Source organism: Homo sapiens, chromosome 12 (assembly GCF_000001405.40).
Source record: "Homo sapiens chromosome 12, GRCh38.p14 Primary Assembly".
Lineage (NCBI taxonomy): Eukaryota > Metazoa > Chordata > Mammalia > Primates > Hominidae > Homo > Homo sapiens.
This window is the reverse complement of record NC_000012.12, coordinates 105,721,746-105,744,244: the sequence shown is the minus strand read 5'-3', so window position 1 is coordinate 105,744,244 and position 22,499 is coordinate 105,721,746. Positions and strand designations below refer to the sequence as shown.

Here is a 22,499-nt window from a genome sequence, read left to right as displayed (position 1 = left end):
AAATGTAATAAAAGTGGTAAGCCTTATATGTTGGTATTTAAGTTACAGGATATTAAAGGGGAGTGTAATTCAGCTAGTAGTGCAGGTAAACATAATCCAGCAATGCATAAAATGACACAGTGTCTACTATCTCGGAGAGCGCTAATCTGTTTTCATTTGTATGAAAGACAGTTGCATCATGTCAGGCAGGTGAAAGCATGATTTTGCTTTATTTGGACAATAAATGTAGGAAAAAAGAGATATACCTAGTTGATAAGGGTTGCATTCTTCTGAATCATCCCGTTATCAACTTGACCAAGCTAAAATCTTTCTCACAATCCACTTCTCTTTCTCTTCCTAATCTGCATGGTTCCAGGTTAGAGTTGGCCAAAAGAGGAGCTTGTTCAGGATTTTGAAGACAGAAGTAAAGCAGTGGCCATTACTCTCAGCAGGTCGTTTACTCTGCATCCAGCCCATACTCTTGAATGCTGACCTACTGACCAAGCAAATTCTCATCCATGGCCCCAGAGATTCAATAGCTACACAGAGGCATCCCATAGCCCCCTAGAGGAGCTCCTCCTTTGCTTTCCATTCAATCCCAGAGCTGTGGGATTCTCCTGCATTTCTTTTTTACTTCTCTAGTAAAATGTAATCAGCCTTTTCTGTAGCATATTCCATCAATCACTGTCAAAGAACATGAACTTCACATCAAAGACATAAAAAGTGCCCTCCTTTTTTTAGCAAAAAAGGAACAGGTTTCCAGGCATTCCACTATTGTATTGATCAGTTACTGCAACTTTTCGGGATGTAAATGTCATAATAGTGACATTAGGAATACATTTTGCTGTTCCGGCTTTTAACATAAGGAAAATAGAAATAGAAATTCCATGTTTAGCCAGAAATCATCTTGAGCATCCAGCATATAAACTTACTGATTATACTTAAACCAGCCTTGTAATTAATGCCGCACTTGCAAATGGACATAGACATCAAGGGCCGTCCTCTGATAAAGCATTTCATCGCAGCTGGTGTCCAGCAGTCCTTGTTTTTAACATGCTGACTGCTGTGCTCGATATAAAATGGGAAGGCTATTATTGATTACTAATAATCAACTGCTTATTAGTAATTTTTCTGACATAGAGGCCTACATCATATTTCACTGATTGCTCTAAATTCCTGGTGTTCCACACTCTGCTGTGTTCCACTCTGAACCACCATGGTTCACAGGACAGGCTCTCATCCTCCAAGGGGGCTTCTGATGCAAGTGGGTTGAAAGATGGACAGAAGCAGGCATATTCCAGGCACTTAAAAGTATGTTTATGATTTCACCTGTTCATCCTTTTGGGTTATTTGATTGCAGGCAACAGAAACAATCTTTGTCCAACCAGCAAAAGAGGGATTTGGAGAAAGAAAATGAAGCAGCTTATGGAACAGAAGGTAAAGCTGGAGAAGTAGGATTGGAGCATCTGGGGAGCAGACACTCATGGGTGTGGGCGGAGGGGAGCCTCTTCAGAGAACCACTGTCTGCTTGCTGGAATTTCAGCCATCTTCAGTCCCGTCAGGCACTCTGCTCAAGATTTCCATCCAGGGATAAGGGATGGGCCCTGTTTGAGTTTCAGGCTGCCCTTGGCCAGAGGCAAGGCGGACTTGGCTGCTAGACTATACACACTGGGGGAGGGATGGCTTCTCAAAGAGAAATCAAGATGTCCATAACAGAGGTCACTGTGTCGTGAAAAGATGAGCCTTATGGTGTCTTCCCAGTGACATTTTCTGTACGAGTCATGTGACTGTGTCCAGGACACGAGACAGGGTGGCCCAAGGACAAGCCCCTGGTCTCGGTATTATGTTTCCAGCTCCTCATTTCCTACTGAGTAGCCTAGGTTTCTGGGAATTATCCAGACCCAGATGGTATTTGTATTTCCAAGAGACCCAGCATTTCAAAGTCTGACATATGCCACACTCAGATAGTTATGAAAGCAAAGCCAAGCGACAATTGGGACCAGTTTTTTTCCAGACGTCTCTTTTTATCTAGATCTCAGTTACAGGGAGTCTGAAAAGTCCCATTATCTCAGCAGAGAAATCACGGCAGGCAAGTTTGCTACGGCTGTTTCATTTCTGTGTTGTCCAACAACTGCTCAAATCTCAATCCCTTCTCTCCAGTCAAATGCATCTTTTGGCCCAAATCCGGGGCTCCACATACATAGCTCCTAATATCTGGAACAGCCTCCACAGCCAAGTGAATGAGTCAGTCTTCTGAGTTGATTCAAATCCCCAGAGACTTAGTTCCAGAAGCTTCCAACAATGCCCTTAGGATGTATGACTAGGTCTGAACATTCAGTAAAGTGTGAGCTTGTGGCAGTCTCTGTATATAGACTCAGTTATCTGCATTCATCTGTCTCTTTTCCTAGGTCAGGAGAGTCCCAAGAAGAAGGATCATATCTGGTTTCCTCTTCTGCCTCTCCCCATGGTGTCTAGGAGAGTGCACACTCAGTCAGCATTGATAACTAACTCTGGTAAATAAAGAAAAGGCAAACATTAGGAGACAGAAAACCAGATACTAATCTCACTTTTACAAATGAGGGCAAGCCATCCAACCTCGGTGAGCCTCAGTCCTCTCATCTTTGTAATGGTGACCGTAAGAATTCATTCCACTTTCATGCCACACAGTGGTTACAATGCTTAAATGAGGAAGGTGACGTGAAAGTGGCTTATCATCTCAGCTATAGACATGCCACATTGCTATTAGGTCACCAAGGCACGCTAGAGACAATCAGAATAAAACCTGGGCAAGCTCAGTCAACCCTGGCAACCCTGGCATTCTGATACTCCTAGAACAGTGTCTTATGTTTATTCTTTTGGGGTAACATTTAAGCTTTGAGGCCACAGAGCAGAAGCCTTGCCATTTTATATTGAGCGCAGCAGTCAGCATATTAAAAACAAGGACTGCTGAACACCAGCTGCGATGAAATGCTTTATCAGAGGATGTTAAGAAGTCAGGCTCTTCCTTTCTCAGCAGTATTTTCTCTAATTTCTCTTTTCCCATCTGTCCCTACCACGAAGACACTTGTTCACACTCAGACTGCTTCCTGCCTGGACCCCTGCCACCTTCTCCTGCCTGACTTTCTATCTCTTGCCTCCTCATCCTGTCTCAGTGCCAGACAGCTCACGATGCCACTTTGCAATGCAACTTGGAACAGCTTCTGGGTTTCTGCACCAGCTGCCTTTTCTGTGTTGGGGGATAGAGATCTTAAAAATTGCCTTCTATATCGCTGCTTTGTTTCCTTCCATCCTTTCTTCCGCCTGTTTTGGATTTTGTTTTCTTTTTTCTTAAAATTGCCTGCTAAAAGCAAAAGCCAGAAGTGACTCCTTTACCTCCCGTTTTTTTTTTTCCTTTTTGTTGTGTTTAACATAAATCAATGTTCTCTGAAAACTAAAAGTCCCATATAACCAAAACTCCAGCACAGCAAAAGCATTTTGAAGTTTTGGCAGAAAGTCCTAGGAGAGTAAAACCAAAAGGAGCTCCTACATTGCAAACCTTTGCTGGGGTCCCCCAGCATTCAACAATGTACCCCCAGTGCTGAGTGTTTTGATCTTTAGGTCAAAAACTATGCAGGAGTTTTGCCCCCAGCTTTTCTCCTCCTAAACCTGAACCAAAATTCCTTTCTTTCTGACCATCTGGTCTCCTCATTTAACTTGGCCAAGCACAGCTTGACAATTCTCCCCTACTGCGATGGCACAAAGGGAAGCAAAAGAGACCTGAAATCAGCCTGATACAGTCTCAGACTTCAATTCCATGCTACTTAAGGTGAAATAAACCATCAAAGTGACATATTAGGAAACTATGAGCAGCAAAGCCATGTTCATTCAAAACTGAAGGCAGGGAAGAAACGGATTTAAAATAAACAGTTCTGGCCCTTTGGGAAGAAATGACTGGAAATTCTATCCCACTGAGCCTTACTTCAAAACAATAATGGCCAATCGCATTTGCATTATTCTTCACAGTTAACAGAGGACGTTTACAAATGGGAGGACATCAAAAGACAGCTAATAATAATTTATATTTGACTCCTCCTGTTCTCAAGGCTCTTTGAAATTGGAAACTTCCATTCATCCTCTCCCAAATTTTGGAAGTTGGAGAAAGCAAGAATTTATTCAATCATTTATTCATCTATTCAACTCTTGTCTATTGGATGTCTACGGTGTGCCTGCCACTGTTCTAGGCCCTGTGATATAAAGCAGTGAAAAAAACAGATGAGGTTGTAGCTCTCACTGAGCTTCTATTCTAGTAGGAAAATAGACAATAAGCAAATTGAACAAATATAGACTATGTCAGATGGGATAAGGTGGGGATAAAAGTAGAAAACAAAAATAAAGCCAGGTAAAGGGTACAGAGAGTCATAGGGGAGTGGATACTGTTTTCTGTAGGGTGGTCCCGATGAAGTGGTGTTTGAGCAGAGACTTAAGGAACAAAGGGTCCAGATGAGAGGAAGGGCCCAGCCAGAAAGGAAGCAATGACTCTTGAGAACAAGGCATGGAAGGCCTTGTTGGACACTGCAAAGACGTTGGCTTTCAGCCTGAGCGAGTGGGAAGGCTTTACCCAGTTTTCAGCAGAGTAACATGATCTGACTTACATTTTGAAAGGGTTCCTCTTGCAGACACTGTGCACTATCCCTAGTAACCATTCCTTCCTTCCTTCATGATAGAAAACCCACAATTTTAGCTGGATGCATGGCATCACAGAATAAAGACTATATTTCCCAGCCTTCCCTGCAGGCAGGTATAGCCGTAACACTAAGTCTGGCCAATGGACCAGTGGAAGTGTGATGGGGTAATTCAAAAGTCATGCTTAAAAGATAGGTGGTTTTGACCTTTTCCTTCTTTACTTTGTTCTTCATCCTCTGCCTAGAATGCAGATGTGACGGTTGATAGACCAGCTGCTATATTGGACTATGAAGACAAGGGTCACCCCTCTGGATCGGACAGTGTGGAGTTAGAAGAAGCTCAGCTCCCTGAGGATTTTGTGGAGTACATCCATACCAGCCCATACAGGCTGACTGCAGACATTAATTTTATGTCATGCCCCTGGAAGCTGAGCCCAGTTCAAATGGCTGCTATCTTTCTATCTACTGTGTAGAGAATACTGGAGGGACAAGAGTGAAAATAGGGATAATCTCTATTTCATACATAGGAACCCTGAAGCCTGAAGAAGTTAAATGAAGTACATTAGGATTGTGGGTAAAAGTACTGGCTTTAAAGTTAGTAAACTTGTCTGTATTTAAATCCTGCCTCCAATACTTCCTAACCTTGTAACCTTGAGCAATTCCTTAGCCTGGGTAAGCCTGATTTCCTCATCTGTAGAATGGGATGATAACAGTGCCTATCTTAGACTATGATTGTGTGTATTAAATAAAATAAACCATGAAAAGACCTAACACAGCCTGATAGAATTGGCATTCCTCGCCTGCCAGTTCCCTGTCCCTCCTTCGCCGGACCCTTTCCCACCTCTTGCATCTGTCCAGGAAATGGTGATCCTTCCAAGGTGGGTGAACAGCGCAATCAGTTAAGAGAAATGCCTTTTGTTACGAAGAGAGGGCAAAAAGAGGGAGAGAAGGGAGAAAGAAGGAAGCCTTAGCACACGAATGGATATGATGGACTTTCAAGTACCCAGAGGTTTCAGCTCACAAGAGACAAATGTCAGTAGTGAGCCTGGAGTACTGAGAGATCTAAGAAAAGAAGGCCGGAAGTTCAGCCGTCAGCCTCCAAGCTGTTCCCTTGCCAATCCCCTTCTTTTTTCTCCCTTTCTCTATCACCTCTTCTCTTTCCTCTTCCAAAATAAAAGTAGGAAGCGTGAAAAGCTTGGTAAATCATCTGGTTTTCAGGCTGTTTTTCCTTGGAGTGGCTAAGACTGCTTTTTATTGGCTTGGCAGGATGTTTTGAGATTGTGTGGCGAGGACTCCTCTGTGTGTGTGCCCGTGTGTGTGTGCGCGCGCGTGTGAGTGTTTATCTGAGTACTGGGCTTTGGAATGCAAAGTAGCACATACGTGTTTCCTTTTTGGTAGCAGATTCTCTTCCTAATTATGTTTTGCTCAGGCTAATATTAAAACGAATTGGTTTCCTCTGACAACAATAAGTGTAATAATAACAGGAAATTGCCCAGAATCACACAATAACAAAAATAGAGCCAGAGAGGAAGCAACAAGACTCTTGAGAACATTTTGCTGATCTACTTTTCCATTCCATTTTGTCCATGTATTCCATCTCTTCATTGATTCAGAAAACTATGCTTATTACTGGTGAGATTAATGGGAAGCCTGAAAAAAATTCAACTTACTCTCTTTAATCAGAAATTTGTGAACCACTAAATATCAAAAATTAGAAAAAAAAGATGCATGTCAGCTTCTGTATAAAGATTGACCTGTATTCTACCCAATACCACTCTTTTGTAAGAAGGGTTAAGTCAAAATAACACTTCCATTAATTATCTTACATATCAAAGGTTCTGATAAATTCTGCAGTAAAACAACCTGGCTCAATGTGTCAAACCTAGCAAGGCCCAAATTTATTTGACCATGCAACTATCTTTTCCTTTTTTATTGACTACTTGTGAACTTTGAAATTAGGATTACAGAATACAAACCTTTCAACGTTTTCATTCTCAGGGAAATGCTCTACTTGTGTTCCGAATGCTGTCTCTGGGCATTTATTCTTAATATCATGCACATTAATTCTGCTATTTGGTTGCTTAAGCCTCTGTAAGGAGACTATTCTCTTAACAATAGCATATTCTATTCACCAACATAATTGATTCAAGCAGAAGTTTGGAAGATAAAATGCCTTTGCAAGCTGATTACCATCATCTTGACCTTACCTGATACATTCAGGAGGAGGAAAAGGGGTATCTCCATTCCAAAGCACTTTCTTCTTTGCCCTCCCTGCATGGGAAGTCTTTGGGGTCATTTCTACCAGTGGATGGAACCTCAGGCCAGTTTGCTTCCCACCACACACAGACCCTGTTTGTTAAGGAGAGAGATAAGCACCAGTAACAACCTCTGTACTTACTTAAATCTATGCGATGAAGGGTCCATAGTAATCCACCAGGGATTCACAGGGTGAATGGGTGGGTGAAGAATCTGGCTACAATAGCTATTTATAATTGATGCCAATAAAGCCCTTGAGTCTAGCCTGTGCGTGTATTAAATGAGATGACAGAAGACAAGGCCGTGGTCAGAGTTCAGGGAACCTGGTCTAAGTACACTCCAGGGGTCCAGGTTTGACCCGCAGACTTGGTACACACAGCAATCAACAATCAACCAGTTTGTCTGACTGATTAATGACAACTGCCAAAAGGGGTCACACACAAAGTACCAAAGCCCAGCTAAGCCCAAAAGGGGTCAGCTTGCTGGCCACAAAGCCTTTTTATTAAGTGAGACATCTGTTCAGATCTCTGTTGCCAATTAGGTCGTTATTAGATTCTGCTAACACATATTGATAGCTGATAGCGGGAGATGCCATTGAGAGGACACATTAGCACCTTCACCGCTAACTGTAAATCAGCCTGCTCTGTCTGCCTGAGAGCATCTGAATAAGCACCTCCCTCTGGCTTTCCCAGCTGGGGGTTCTCCCCTGTTCCTGGAATGAGGCACAGCCAGAGTGGCTGTCTAAACACCCAGCAACCAATCAGAGCATCCAGGGCAAAGGTATTGAGCTCCACAGAAACTTTTGTATAAAAACGTTCATTATTTTTATCTTTCTAAAGTAATACACACGTGGCAGAAAATTTAGAATATTGTAGGCAATCAAAAGAAAGGAAATCAAGATGACCTATAGTGTCATAATCTTGCTATCTCTCCTTAGAATTTTTTTTCTCTACACTTATTGTATTTCCACAGGGCTGAAATCATGCTGTTCCTGGCATACAAGCCTTTGTTTTACTCCATTCCAACCACACTGGCCCCCTTGAGATTCTCCCAACACGCCAGGCATATTTCCACCTCATGACCTTTGCATCTGCGGTTTTCCCCTCATGGAATGTTCTTCCCCCGGACCCTCCAATGACCAGCATTCACACCTGCGTCAGGTCACTGTTCAAATGTCGTTCCCTCCAAGAAACCTTCCTGACCAAATGAGCAAAAACAATTGTTTCTCTTTGCCATTCTTCGATTTCTTGTTCTGCTTTATTTTCCTTCAATGCACTACATGAGCTGATAGCATGTTTTATAGTCATTTGTTTGTTATCAGTATTTCCTACTGCAGTTTAAGCTCCACACAGGCAGATACTTTGCTTTGTTCACCATCAAATCCCTACAACCTAAAACATCGCCTGCCTGACCATAGCCAGTGTTCAATAAATATTTATTAAATAAGTGAATACATTTTGTTTTGTGGCTTGATTTTTTTCCCTTTAACAATATTGTACAGAGCCTTCAGGATCACTAAATATTCTTTAGTAAACTTTAAAAAAGACTACATCACATCCCATCCCATACTATGGCTGTATTATAATGAGTCTAATCAATTTCCAATGGTTGAACAGTTAGGTTAAATAGTCCCCCATCTTTTTTTTTTTTTTTTTTTTTTTTTTAAGAGAGAGAGGAACTTGCTCTGTTGCCCAGGATGGAGTGCGGCAGTGTGATCACCATTCACCGCATCCTCGAACTCCAGGCTCAAGTCATCCTCCCACCTCAGCCTCCAGAGTTGCTGGGACTACATTGGATGTCAACATGCTTACCCCACCCCCCACCCCCCCACCCCCCCACCCCCACCATCTTTTTTTCTCCCATTTTGAAACATATGTAGTACCTTGAAAGTATTTATGTGATTTGTCTGTACAGGGCAAACCTTGACCTTGAAGACTTGGTTGAAAGTTTAACTGGAGGAACAGTCATTGGTAAACCCTTGACCCAGAAAAAATTTGAATTCCTTTGATAGAGAAGGTAGTGAGGAGTGCACATCCCCAGCTGGCAGGATTGGCCACATTATTTTCAGTGGTCAGTGATGTGATAGTCACCTCACATGTGATTTCATGCAAGTACTCAAGCCTTGTGTAAAAGCAGAAAGCATACAGAGATATGTAGGTGTCGTGGGCTAAATTGTGCCCTCCCATTAACGTGTTGAAGCCCTAACCCCCGGTACCTCAGAGTGTGACTGCATTTGGAGATATGGTCTTTAAAGAGGTGATTAAATTATAAGGAGGGTGTGAGAGTGGCCTTGATCTAATCTGACTGATGTCTTTAAAGAAGATGACATTTGGACACAGAGAGAGATACCAGGGATGTACAGGCACAGAGGAAAGACCATGTGAAGACACAGGCAGAAGACAGCCATCTCTAAGTCAAGGAAAGGGGCTTCAGAAGAAGCCATCCCCATCAACACCTTGATCTTGTACTCCCAGATTCCAGAACTACGAGAAAATAAATTTCTGTTGTTTAAGCCACCTGGTCTGTGGTATTTTATTATAACAGTCAGAGTAAACTAGTACAGTAGGTAAGTGCAATGATGTTAAGATGTCTCTGAGCTGAGCGCCGTGGCTCACGTCTATAATCCCAGCACTTTGGGAGGCTGAGGTGGGCGGATCACCTGAGGTCAGGAGTTCAAGACTAGCCTGGCCAACGTGGCAGAACCCCGTCTCTACTAAAATACAAAAATTAGTCAGGCATGGTGGCGGGCGCCTGTAATCCCAGCTACTCAGGAGGCTGAGGCAAGAGAATTGCTTGAACCAGGAGGTGGAGGTTGCAGTGAGCCGAGATTGCTCCATTGTGCTCCAGCCTGGGCGACAAGAGCGAAACTCCGTCTCAAAAAAAAAAAAAAAAAAAAAAAAAAAAAAAAAAAAAAGATGTCTCTGAAAGGGGATTTGGGACTTGGTAAGTATATATTTTATTTCATCTCGAAGGTCACAATTTTCTATACAAACATTTCTAAAATTAAAATGAAAGTTGTTAGGTGCATATAAATCAATAGTTGAACATTTACTTAACATGTAACTTTTCTGGAGCTCTTGGTGGTAAAAAAATTAAACAACAAAAGTGAATTATCTGATCTCAAGAAATCAATGTAGATTTCAAATTACTGGTAATTTCTGTGCCTCTCGAGGGGATATTTTATTTCCACTCTAATTTGTCCACCTTTTTAACTGTTAATTAATTAATTTGACTAATATGTAGTAAGCACTTACTATGCAACCGTTCCTGTGGATACAGCAGTGTGCAAGATAGATGCTTCCCAACCATCATGGAATTTAAACTTATTGTGAGAGTTAAAATGACAGGCAATTGCAATAGGGCACCTCTAACTGGCAGAGGGAAGCTTCATTTCCTAAGTCAGGGGTTGGCAAGCTTTCTGTAAAGGGCCAGAAAAGAAATACTTAACAGCTTTGTGGACCATGCAGTCTCTATCTCAACTACTCAACTCTGCTGTTGTAGAGTGAAAGCAGCCATAGACAGTAGGTAAACAATGAGCATAGCTGTGTTCCAATAAAACTCTATTTACAAAAACAGGATGTAGGCCAGATTTGACTCAGGGGCATAGTTTGCTGACACCTGTCCTAAACTCTAAACTGGAGGATTGTATCACCGTTTTTTTTTTTTTTTTCCCCCTCAGGCCAATAGAAGACATCTCTGCATAAATAGCCTGTCAAGTGAGATGTGTCCAATAAAGCATGGATAGATTATTGGGCTCTGTAGCTTATGCAAGGGAACAGATGATTCTTGCAAGATCTGTCTGAGACCCCTAACTACACAAAACATGAAATTGCATATCCAGCTGGTTCTACCAGAAATATGAGGTGTGGTCACCTGAGCTTATGACACCAGTCCCTCCCTTCTCTAACTTTTTGGAACATTGAACACCACCCTTTCATATAATTCAAGGCAGCAATGCTGGTGGGTGATTGTGCCTAAAGTTTGGGGCTGGGCTGGGAGCCTCTGAGCATTGCTGTCCTCCATTAGGGCTTATTCGTGCTTCCTATCCAAGTTTCCAGTGCCTTTGCTCTCAAAACAGTACTTCTCACAAACCATGATTTGTGGCCTCAACTGCGTGTACCACACCCTGAAGTAAAACTTCCAGACCACATTAAAACATGGGTGTGCACAATTTCCAAAAATTTCTATGTAGAGTTGATCCACCTGGATATAGAAGTGGTATAAAGTCTTCAGTCCTGCAATTACAGGCTCTCTGAAGCCCTCACTTTCCAGTATAAAAAAGCACAACTAAGGTCCCAAATCATTGGGAACTGCATCATAATTATGACTGAACTTTCGAACATCATTCCACACGAAACAGTCGCTCAACAACAAGCAGGGACAAGGTGTGAGGCACGGAGGACAAACAACTTTTCATCACTGAGGAGCTCATTCATGCATTCAACAAACATTCATTCTCTGCTTGCTATGAGCCAGGCACTGTTCTAGGTGCTGGGTAAGACAAAAATCACTGCCCCGTGGAGATTACAGTCTGCACCCAGAAAAGCTTCCTGGTAGAAGAGACAATTGAACTGGGAAGGGTTTTATATTGCACAACTCCAGTGGGGTGCCTTTCACATCACAGACTATTTGAATAGCATTCTCTGGTCTACAGGCATACCACTCTGAATGCAGCCAATCTCGTCTGAATAGCATTCCCTGGAATTGTGAGATGTACAACCCATGTGGTCTTATGCAGTCACCATGACTGGAGTCTTGAAGAAGGATGAGGATTTTAGTAGGTCCAGAAATGAAGGAAGTCAGTCCAAGGAGAGGGAAATAACATGTGCCAAGGTATTAATAATCATTTATTTAGTGCCTACTATTACATGGCTCTGGGCCCCAGGGCTACTAAGAGGTAAACTCTTTTGACTTGCATTATAACACCACATCACTCCTTCAGTGATAGAATTTTAAAAATTGTTATTAGGCACCCACTGTGTTCTGGGCCCTCTTATAAAACACAGGGATGCAGCAGTGAAGAAATCAGAAGTGGTCCCTAACCTCATAGAATTCACAATCCAATGGGAAAGACATTTTCGCTAATCACAAGAATAATGAGCAATTCAAAAGTAAAGGCTGGGACTTAGGAAACTTGTAACTGGGTAGTTAAGACACTTCTGTGTTGGATGAGGGTGGAAAGAAGGGAATAAAACTTGACAGAGGGGAATAGATTTGGATTATCTAAGAAATCAAAAGTTCACAGCAGCAGCAAACCAGGACCACCCTTGAGGAAAGTGGGCAGCTCAACTAGCAGAGATTTAACACACCATCTTCTTGCTAATCCTGGATATTAGGTCTCCCCGAGAATGAAGGAAAGGGAAGGTTGACCTCAGTGTGCAGTCTGTGGACACATGACCTTGTTTCTTTAAATGACAGTGTAGGCATCAGTATAAACTTGCTGAATTCTAGGGGAACAGATTTAGGAAGAGCAGTGGTCCATGACTCCACACCCAAATATTTCTGAGAGTTTGGCTTTTCTTCCCTTGGAAATGTTGAAGCAGAGGAATCCCAGAAACAATCTCTATAAGGAGGGGAAACTTGGGAACTCGAGAGAGAATAGGATGTGCTAATGTGGAAATTATGGACTGGGGCTAATTTTTGAGGTCAGACTTCTCTGAAGATGTCTGACATATGATCCAGAAGCCAGCAGGATGCACCACGTTTTATTTATCTGGGCAAATTAACCTCAAAGTACAGCAGCCCTAAGGAGATTTGGAAAAGATGTTCTATAGTAAACACAGACACAGCAATGGCAGGTTGGGTTAAGAAGGAAAAGTCTCAATACTTTAGAAGAGTAGTTCTCAAGCTATGGTGTGCATTAGAATTGAACTGCATTTTTTACAAATTCCCAGATGATGCTCATACTGTGGAACCACCTGTTTATAACCACCATTTCTGCGTATATTTTGAGGCCTTCCAGAATCTGGCCCCAAATCTCCTGTTCACACTTCTTTGCCACATTTATGTTTCTCATCATGCACCTGACCATCCCAGAAAACTGAGATTCTTTTCATATGTCCAGAACATGCCATAAATGAGGTCTTCTTTATGTATTTGTTTATTCTGTTTTCTCCATTCTTAACTCCTCACTCTGCCTCATGAAACCCTTAAAGACCAGCTCAAATACTGCCTTCTCCAGCCAGCTTTGTCTAAACAACTCAGAATTACATTTTTAAGTTCAACCAGTGTTCAGTGCACTAATGTTTTGTGCAGATTATTATCTCCCTAAAGATAGGCACCTTGTTATTTAGGCATTTATTCAGCAAATACATATGAGGTACCATTGGGTTCATGTGCCTGGGACCAGCTGGGAGCTGAAGTTATAAAGGAGAAAGATACAATCTCTAGACTTCCCAGGAGCATATTTCATGGGAGAAAGAGAAGGAAACTGGTCACTGCAACATAGGGTGATGAGAACTAAAAGCTGGTTACAGGAGCACTTGGGAAAGTCACCCAACAGTACTGACTAATTCAGGAAAGACTTTCCAGAAGAAATGATTGCTTTCTGACATGTTGAGGATAAGTGGGATTTACTGATGAAAGTGTAGGAAGAACAAAGTAGGGTAAGAGAAAGGGTGACCCAGGCCAGAGATGAGAGGCAAGGTATGACTGAAGAGTCAAATCTGAGAGAGGAAGGATGAGAGATGAAGCTGGAGGGCAAAGCTAGGATGGGTTGATGTGATCCCTAGATCCATATGTGTCAGCCTTGGTCCAAGCAGGAGACGAAAACCACATGGTATGTTAAACAGGGAAAATTAGAGGCAATAAATCGACACCTGACATATCATGTCAGAAAATTTAGACTTCATCTATAAGGATTTTCAACAGGGGAGTGACAAGAACAATTACAAGTAGTATTAAATAGATGCTCAATAAATCTGACCTGAACTGTCACTTTCTCTTCTCAATGCATGCCTAAGACGGAAAAATAGCTCTTTCCACAAATAATTTTCTATGGAGTCCACCACACACTAACACCACCACCACCATCCAGTCCTGAGCTTTAGAGCATATCTTCTACCTAAAGCCATATACCAGATTCAGGATTTTCCAAGAGCAACTGAGAGTTCCTCAAGCCAAGCCTCAAGAAAATTCATCCAAAATTCCCAATTGCAATGAAACCCCAAATCTAAAAAAGGCAATTTGTGCAGTGCCCATTGTGGTTTTATTATGGAAGCTTTTGCACAGTTGTGGTTAGGGTCCTCCCAGTGCTTATGAAGTGATGAGTCACAGCAAATGAATAAAAGTGTGCATTATTCCATGAGGCTGACCATATAACATATTTAATATGTGATATTTCAGATCCTTCATAGTAAACATATACTAAATTGAGATATATGTGTATGTGTTTGTATATAGAAGCTTTGTGGACTAGTGAATAACCCTCTTTGTGTGTGTTTTAAAGGCTTAACAGAGAGCCAAAATTAACTCTATCTGCTCCTTTATAATACTTGTTTTGCTATAATAAGAATCAAGTGGTAAGAAAATGGGATCAGAGACTTCAGCAGATACTTCAGTTCTCTTATCTGGCTGAGAAAAAAAGTAGAGGGTTGATAGTAGAGGGAAAAAATCATGAAATGCTTATCATTAGACCAATTAAAATTTCTTGTAAAGCCTTGGATTGTTTCTTCTGACAAAACTCCCTTTTACACTTTTGATTCCACCCTCCTAGTGTTCTTCTCATACTCCTTATCCTGCACTTACTTCCTAAATGAGGCATATCCTAAGGTTCCAGCGCCAGTCTTATCATTCAATACCCTCCCTTCTGTGTGCTGAAAAATATGCCTAAGGCTTCCACTATCAACTATGAATTCCTCACTTTTGAACTCCAGTCCCACCTTTCAACTGCCTATTTATGGTACACTGAATTATTCCTCCCAATTCTTTAAACCTCTCAGTTAAAGGATAATACAACCATATCCTGTGCCAGTAATTCAGCAAGATCTCTCACTAGAGTGGGTGAAGTTCATTTCCCCACCACTTTGATGTTGAGCTTTGCCATGTGACTTGTTTTGGCCAATGGAATGTTAATGGTCATGAAACAAGGAAAAGTTTTAAATGTCCTTGCATGATGTGGCTTGGCCTCATGTGCTTCTGCCATCAGCAAGGGAAGAATATATCGTATGAGCTGCTGGTCCCAGATTGAGACACCGGGAGCAGACTCCAACCTCACCTGCAGCCTGGAGCCAACCAGCCAAATTCAACCACGACCAGACAATGTCAGCTAAACTTCAGCTGATCCATAAACTATACATGAGAGAAATAAATGTTTGTTGTTATATGCCATGATATTTTGGTATTATTTATACTGCTGCATTATTAAAGTAGCAATAGCTGACTAGCACTTATTGAATTCCTCAATCTGGAACTAATGTAAGTATTTCAAATTCAACACTGAATTCATCTCCTTTCCTCCAATCCTAATGCTTCTTTGCTTTTCTCTACATTTCATTCCTCTCATACTCTGTTTCTTCCTTCATTCACTAATGTATACAATGGTTATTAAGCTGTAGATCATGGTGAAGGAGAATAAAAGAAAATAAATTTACTATTGAGACCAGTCTCTAATCCCACAAACAAGAAATCAAAGAAACAGCCAAATTTTCATTTTAACTCTTCTTCACTTCTTATATGCAGGCCTTCATATGCTTATCAATTGTACTTCTAACAAAGGAAAAAAATCTATTATTTCTTTTTCTAGGGATGCCAGATTCCAGCAATGGGAGAAGCTTTTGTTTTCATCCTCAGTGTAATGGCTTTTACATTCTGAAAGCAGTATTAAGGATTCAGTAGAGATATGCAGTCTTGGAGACAGATGCCAGAAAAGAGTAGCTAAATTATATTGCCTAAAAATAAGGGAGAGATGAAAGGGCCCTAGGGTAGATCTGGCATTAACAGAATATGAGCTTTGGGAAAAGGAGGGCAGTTGAAGAGTGGAGAGGAGAAGCAGCAACTACTTGGAAGGTGAGAAGAATCAGGAAATACATGTTGCACAGAGAACTTTCTAATAAAATGTTGAGTGCTTGCTACACACTGTAAACTCCCACCTCTATTATTTCTACAAAATCTTCAGAAAACCCTGTATTTCTTATTAAGCAGTGTGAAGTGGGTTTTCTTTTCAGAGAATAAAAATAAGAAGCTGCCTTTAAAATTCATATGGTGCAAAATGGGTAAGTTGTCCTGTGTGCCAAAGCAAAGTACATCCGAAAAAAGAGTTACATGCTTCCTATGTAGATCCCAATATTGAGCCTTTCTTTTGACACTCATTTTTGGTAATGCAATCATTTTAAGTTTCCTGAAGTTCCTTAACATGGCATGCCTTTCAGGCCACTTTGTCTTTGTAATTTCTGCCTAGAATGACTTTCCTCCCGTTCTTTGTTTTATCTGTCTAATGTATATCCTGAAATTATATTAATTCCCTAAGCCTCAGTTCAAAAGACAAGCTTCCAAAAATGTTGACATCCCCTGCCAAGGTAATGGGAATTCAGAACCAATGCAGACAAATAATTTTTGTTATATTATTTCTAAAATGATAAATCTGAACTTCTAATTCCAACTGAGATGGTGCTAGGATATTTGCAAGAAGGAAGAGGAGGAAGATGAAGGAAACTGAGTCATAATTTGTAACATATACAAATATTTCATATGAGAAAATTTTTGTGACTTGGATTAGGCAAAGATGTCCTAGATATGATACCAGTAGCTTAATCCATAAAAGAAGAATTAATAAATTGAACTTTTAAGTAGAACTTCTTTTTAAGAAAAACACTGTAAAGAGAACAAAAAGACAAGGCACAGGCTGAAAAAAGTATTTGGTAACCACATATCTGGTAACAAACTTAGCTCAAGAATACAGAAAACATTCTTAAAACTCAATAAGAAAAGAACCCACTAAGGATAGAAAAAAGATTTGAATTGATATTTTATAAAAGAAGAGATACAGATGGTAAATAAGCATATGAAAAGATGATTAAAATTATTAAGAGGGAAATTCAAATTAAAACTACAGTGAGATACCATTATGCCCCAATTAGAATTGCTAATATTAGAAAGATTGATCATGCGAGAATATGAAAGAACTCTCATACACTGTAAGTGAGAGTGTAAAATCGTACAACCACTTTGGAAAACAATCTACAGCAGTTTGATTTACAATTGCCCCAAACTGGAAGTAACTCAAATGTCCATCAGTAACTGGGTATATACATTGTAATACAGTAGTCCCTCAGTATCTATGAGGGATTGGTTGCAGGACCTCCCTCGGATACCAAAATCTGCGGATGCTCAGGTCCCTTACATGAAATGGTCTAGTATTTGCACATAACCTACAGGCATCCTCTCGTATACTTTAAGTCCTGTCTACTTACAATACTTAATATAATATAAATGCTACATAAATAGTTGTTTTACGGTATTTTTAATTTGCATTATTTTTCATTGCTGTATTGTTATTTTCTATTGTTCTTTTTTTCCTGAATATTTTTTATCGCAGTTGGTTGAATCCAAGGATGCAGAAGCTGCCAATACCGAGGGGGCTGACTGTATATACATATAAAGGGACACTCCTTAACAATAAAAAAGGACACATACAATACAAAATAGTTACACTGGAGAAAATCCAAACCAAAAAAGAGTACATGCTATGATTTTATTTACATAAAAATCTAGAAAATGCAAAGTAATCTATAATGACAGAAAGAAAATCAGTAGCTTGCTAGAGATGAGAAACCAAGTGGGGCTGGAGAAAGAACTTGTACATGAACGATTACACATGAGCAAATTTTTTGGGTTGATAGATATGTTCATTATCTTGATTGTAGCAATGGCTTCACAGGTATATTTCTATGCCCAAACTTATCAAATTATATACTTTAAATATTTGCAGTTTATTATATGTCAATTATGCCTCAATAACTGTTCAAAAGACACACCGTAGTTTTGGGTTTTTTTTTTTTTGTTTTTTTGTTTTTTTTTTTTTTTGAGACGGAGTCTCACTCTGTCGCCAAGGCTGGAGTGTAGTGGCGCAATCTCGGCTCACTGCCAGCTCCACCTCCCGAGTTCACGCCATTCTCCCGTCTCAGCCTCCCAAGTAGCTGGGACTACAGGTGCCCGCCACCATGCCCGGCTAATTTTGTTTCTGTATTTTTAGCAGAGACGGGGTTTCACCGTGTTAGCCAGGATGGTCTTGATCTCCTGACCTTGTGATCCTCCCGCCTCAGCCTCCCAAAGTGCTGGGATTACAGGCGTGAGCCACTGCGCCCGGCCGACATATCGTAGTTTTTAAATGATGAGCTGTTAACATAAAATTTCAGGCTTGATAACAGGGTTTTGTCATATTAATGAGGGATTCATTTGCAATTGTTCTCCATTTGAGATAACTCCCACATTCAGCTGGTCTCTTTTTGATTACATTATTTCATTTACAACATTAGATTGTTCTAAATACATTTTTTAATCTACTGGTGTGGAGAGTTACCCATGCTATAATTTGGAGCGATTAAAAAGCAAGTTGCAGAGTAAAATGCATGGTATAATATCTTCTTTTGTTAAGAAAAAAATGAGCAAAGCAAGAACATATGTACCTGTATTTATACATGTTTAACATGTTTGAGCATAGAGGAAAGTGGTTGGGGATGGCAACAGGCACATAATAGTTTGGATATCTAGTTGTTAAACAAATCTTATCCAAAAGCTAGAAACTATACTTTTCAACTTGGGAGATGATGGTCAGTGAATTCCTAATAGATCCATTTGTTGCCTTCTGTTCCCAAAAGTATTTCTTCATGGCATGTTGGAGCATTTGGATGTGGTTTTAAAACACGGCCAATAATATAGCATCAGTGATTATTTTCAACAAGCAAAGAAAATTAGCAAGCATTGGAAATGAATCAAATTCCCAGTAATGGAAGTGTTTGTTCCACTTTGGTTTTCTTAAGTAATCCTAATATCTTATCTAATTCTTGACATTTATAGTCATAGCATTTTGAAACTGGAGTATGTATATTGAGACAGTCTGCTTGAGCAAACCACTTAAAATGAATTTTTTAGAAGGTATTATAATGTCATAGAAAAATGTGGGTTTTTTTCCCTCATCCTTCATTTGAAAAAAAAAAATTGTAAGAACACATTCTCCCTCAAAAGCTAGCATACTCTAGTGCCAGAAAGCAAAATGTTATTTATTACTCACTGCTTAGTTAATAACAAAGAGCTAGAAAAGACATATACTCATTAGATGGAATTGTTGGGACTTGTGATTTTCACCAATTCTTTCAACCCTGAATCAAGAGCAGGAGGCAGAGTCGGGGCCACCTTGTTGTATAACTTTGAGTGGTCATACAGACGTTGTATTTCCCTGGAGCACAAAGCCAATAGTGTTCCTTGGAGTTGTGTCTGCCAGTTCTCTTTGGATTAAGCAGTGTGTGACCTGGCATTCAGTGCAGCTCTTTTATTTGTGTAGATATGCTTCACTACTGAGTCTAGCCACCTCTTGCAGCCAGCGCATGAATCACAGAATAACTGTTAACTGCATGGAAATGCCCTCTCCTGTGACAGGGGCTTTAAGTAATTAAATGAAACAAGATGTTCTCTTGCACTTTCCCCTCATACGTGTCCTGCATAAAGGCTAGGAGCTGGTTCACACTCTGCATATCAATAGATTCATCTAACAATGAAGCCATAGCAACTTCTTTCCCTTGTGCACTACCAGTAATAAGTCCAAAAGTGTCACTGAATAAAGGAGTCTTGTCAAAGGCTCCGATTTCTCTCAGGGCATAGTATTTTTCATTAACTTGAGGGCATAGTATTTTTTATTATAATCATCTTAACCAGAGTATGGCTAAATATGAATTTGGATGATACTTCAAGAACTTTTGTCTCTTCACTGACTTAACTAATTCGCCAATTTTGTATCGAAAAGCATTATTCTGACCTTGTTTTAGAGATATTCAAGTGCTAAACAATCATATCATCAAGATTTGTTTAAAAATTAAGTGAAAATGCTGTTGGTTTATGTTTCTATTCTAAAAATTTCAAAACACATAATAGCCTAGGTGTTGACAAGTAATATAACTGACCTTCAGATGTTCATTCATTCATTCATTCATTTCTCAAGTCAGGATTACTTGGGTGTAATTTGCTTACAGTAAAATGTACCCTCAGGAATTCGTTCTGATTATTCTTATGCATACATTTGTGGAGGGGGGGAACTGTCAGAAACTTGTCACATTAGCACGCATACTCACTTGTTCCAAGACATACATATTCACATTTACATTCAAATTCTATTTCCTGTTCATGTATAGGACATTATTTTGAGCTATAGTAACTATGTACCTATTGTCATCATTAACATTATGTTCAACCAATCACTTTTGAGACACTTGTCTATTTATGAGAATTGTAAAGACACACAATAATGATGGGAAATGAGAACTCAGCAAATTCTCATTTCAGCAAATACGCAAATGAGGTAAAAACACACTAGTCAAGTTAAGTGGATATTAGCAAGACAACCTGTAAAAATATAATGGAATCTGTGACAACAATTATTTTACGTTTCGAATTTGCAAATAAATATGAATAAGCTTAAGTCATCAATTTTTCCTTGGAAACTATCAAGCCATTTCTGACTGCCAACAAGGCAGCATTCCAAGAAACACAGCTCTTAAGTGTCTCTCATGATGTTGAATGAATGAAGGAACTGAACTGAATGATTTGGAGAAACAAATTGCCAGATTAATTTATGCCATAGTTCAGAATAAACACAATCTCTCTCTCCTAAAGGCCAAGAATGTCCTATCCAGACAGAGGAGATCATTCTAAATTGACAGAAGAGCCACATGTACCAGTAGAGAGCTACCAGCAGGCTCACAAATATGGGACATGAGAAACTCCTTAATCTGAGATTACCACTTAGGCAAGTTTTAAGAAATTTTTTCTTTTACTGTAATAAAGAGCAAAATGAATGGCAGGAATTTACACAACCTCTTAAGTGACTGATCACAGTCCCTATGAGTTCTCCACGTCAGGCCACAAAAGCTCTTTGGGCTTTTTGAGCAACGATGCAGGGTCCTTTTAAATGTATGGATATCCATGCAAGGATTATCAGGTTTCCTCTTTGTCTCTGGATTTCTTTTTCTTTTAATCTGATTACAATTTGCAAAGCATTGACTTAATACTTTTTTATAGCAACACTTGCTGCCTAGGATTATTTTGGAAAGACAATGGCAAATATAGATATTTATACCTTATTTCACAATCTAGTGCATTCTATCTGACTTGAGATTTCAATATCCCCACTCTGCAAGATTCAACATCAAGACAAGTGAGATTACTTTTTGTTTCATGGCCAAAAGCCAGTTTCCTCCCATTGCCCCTGAAGCAGCTTCCTAAGTCTCAGCCTTAACTTTAGAAGATGCATGTTGGCATCTGCCGTAATGATTTTAACTACAAATCGTGCAAGCTAGATTCACCATGGCTGAAACAAATCGGGGTTTGTTTACCTGACGTAATAAGACATCAGCATGTAAAGTGTGACTGGGGTTGGTGCAGCCAGCACACTATGCTGGGGCTGACTGTCCTGTGATTCTCTCAGTCTCATTGTTACAAAAGGGCTTCTGCACCCCCTGACAGACAAATATCACATTCAAGAATGAATGAAGCAGATGGGAAATGGGGGAATGCTAGCTACCTTGTCCCTTTTTTTGAGAAATCAAGAGCTTTTCCAAGTCTTCAGTCACGGGCTCTCTCTGCTGACTTCCACTTCTAACTCTTTGCCCCAAACTGTGTCACATGGCCAGCTGTTGTGCAGAGGATGCTGGGAAATAAAGTGTGTAGCTTTCTAGTTTCATAGGTTAGGAAAGTCAGGGAGAAGGGACCTGGGATAGACGCTTAAAGAGCCAAACCGCAATGTCTACCATCAATATGCTATTCTAAGAAAACGAAAGGGAACGGAAAAGGAAAGGGAAAAAGGGGGAAATAGGCTACAGATGGGATAAAGTTTAGTTCAAAATCTGCTACTTCCTACCTATGTGATCCTGGAACTTTGAAAAAGTTATTTATGTGTCCATGCCTCAGTCTTCTCATCTGTGAAATTGGGATAATATAAATTACTACCCTACAGAGAACTGTGAATATAAAATGTGATTCATGCAAAGAGCTAAGCCCAACAGCCGGCATATAATAATCACTCAAGGCTACTACCACACCCCACACCCTATGACTCTCACTATTACTAATAATAACTCTACTGCTACCGATAATCACCATTATTATTACTATGTGTGAAAATATTTCCACTTACATAAAGCATTCTATAAACAATAACATTTATAAAATTTTATACATTCCCTTCCTTCTGTCTCTTCCCTTCTGGCCATCTGGCAACAGGATATTATTATAGCAAACACTTAAAGAATTATCTATAGCCTTGGGATTTCATTCATTCATGAAATCAATAGTATTTATTGAACACCTGCTATGCTACAGGCACTCTGCTGAATACTGATGATAAGGTGGTGAATAAAAATAGACAAAGTTTCTGTCCACATGACATGTACAATC

General features: G+C 40.1%; 2 long non-coding RNA genes across 8 annotated transcripts in view, besides 2 other annotated features; one reads left to right on the top strand and one right to left on the bottom strand.

The window, feature by feature from the left end:
* The window catches only part of LOC107984435 (uncharacterized), a 28,065-nt gene extending 22,654 nt beyond the window's left edge, over nucleotides 1–5,411 (top strand). Inside the window, exons 2-4 of one of the 4 annotated variants that reach the window (XR_007063441.1) lie at nucleotides 1,340–1,416; nucleotides 2,388–2,492; nucleotides 4,886–5,411. This is a non-coding gene — a long non-coding RNA (uncharacterized LOC107984435). Of the gene's footprint in view, nucleotides 1–1,339; nucleotides 1,417–2,387; nucleotides 3,130–4,885 lie in introns of those variants that run through there. The other 3 variants (XR_001749303.2, XR_007063440.1, XR_001749305.2) reach the window with 3 other exon arrangements.
* CASC18 (cancer susceptibility 18) overlaps nucleotides 182–22,499 on the bottom strand; it is a 39,861-nt gene continuing 17,543 nt past the window's right edge. For 2 of the 4 annotated variants that reach the window (NR_110108.1, NR_110110.1), the window contains exons 2-3: nucleotides 6,848–6,989; nucleotides 182–2,489 (exon numbers count right to left, since the gene is read on the bottom strand). This is a non-coding gene — a long non-coding RNA (cancer susceptibility 18). Of the gene's footprint in view, nucleotides 2,490–6,847; nucleotides 6,990–21,963; nucleotides 22,023–22,499 lie in introns of all 4 variants that reach the window. The other 2 variants (NR_110109.1, NR_110111.2) reach the window with 2 other exon arrangements.
* Nucleotides 3,045–3,655: an enhancer, noted in NCBI's record as "OCT4-NANOG-H3K27ac hESC enhancer chr12:106134368-106134978 (GRCh37/hg19 assembly coordinates)". NCBI's record gives its function as "activates a minimal SCP1, AML or CMV promoter by ChIP-STARR-seq in naive H9 embryonic stem cells {active_cell/tissue: H9 hESC(naive)}" and the evidence as "EXISTENCE:reporter gene assay evidence [ECO:0000049][PMID:30033119]".
* Nucleotides 3,656–4,267: an enhancer, noted in NCBI's record as "OCT4-NANOG-H3K27ac hESC enhancer chr12:106133756-106134367 (GRCh37/hg19 assembly coordinates)". NCBI's record gives its function as "activates a minimal SCP1, AML or CMV promoter by ChIP-STARR-seq in naive H9 embryonic stem cells {active_cell/tissue: H9 hESC(naive)}" and the evidence as "EXISTENCE:reporter gene assay evidence [ECO:0000049][PMID:30033119]".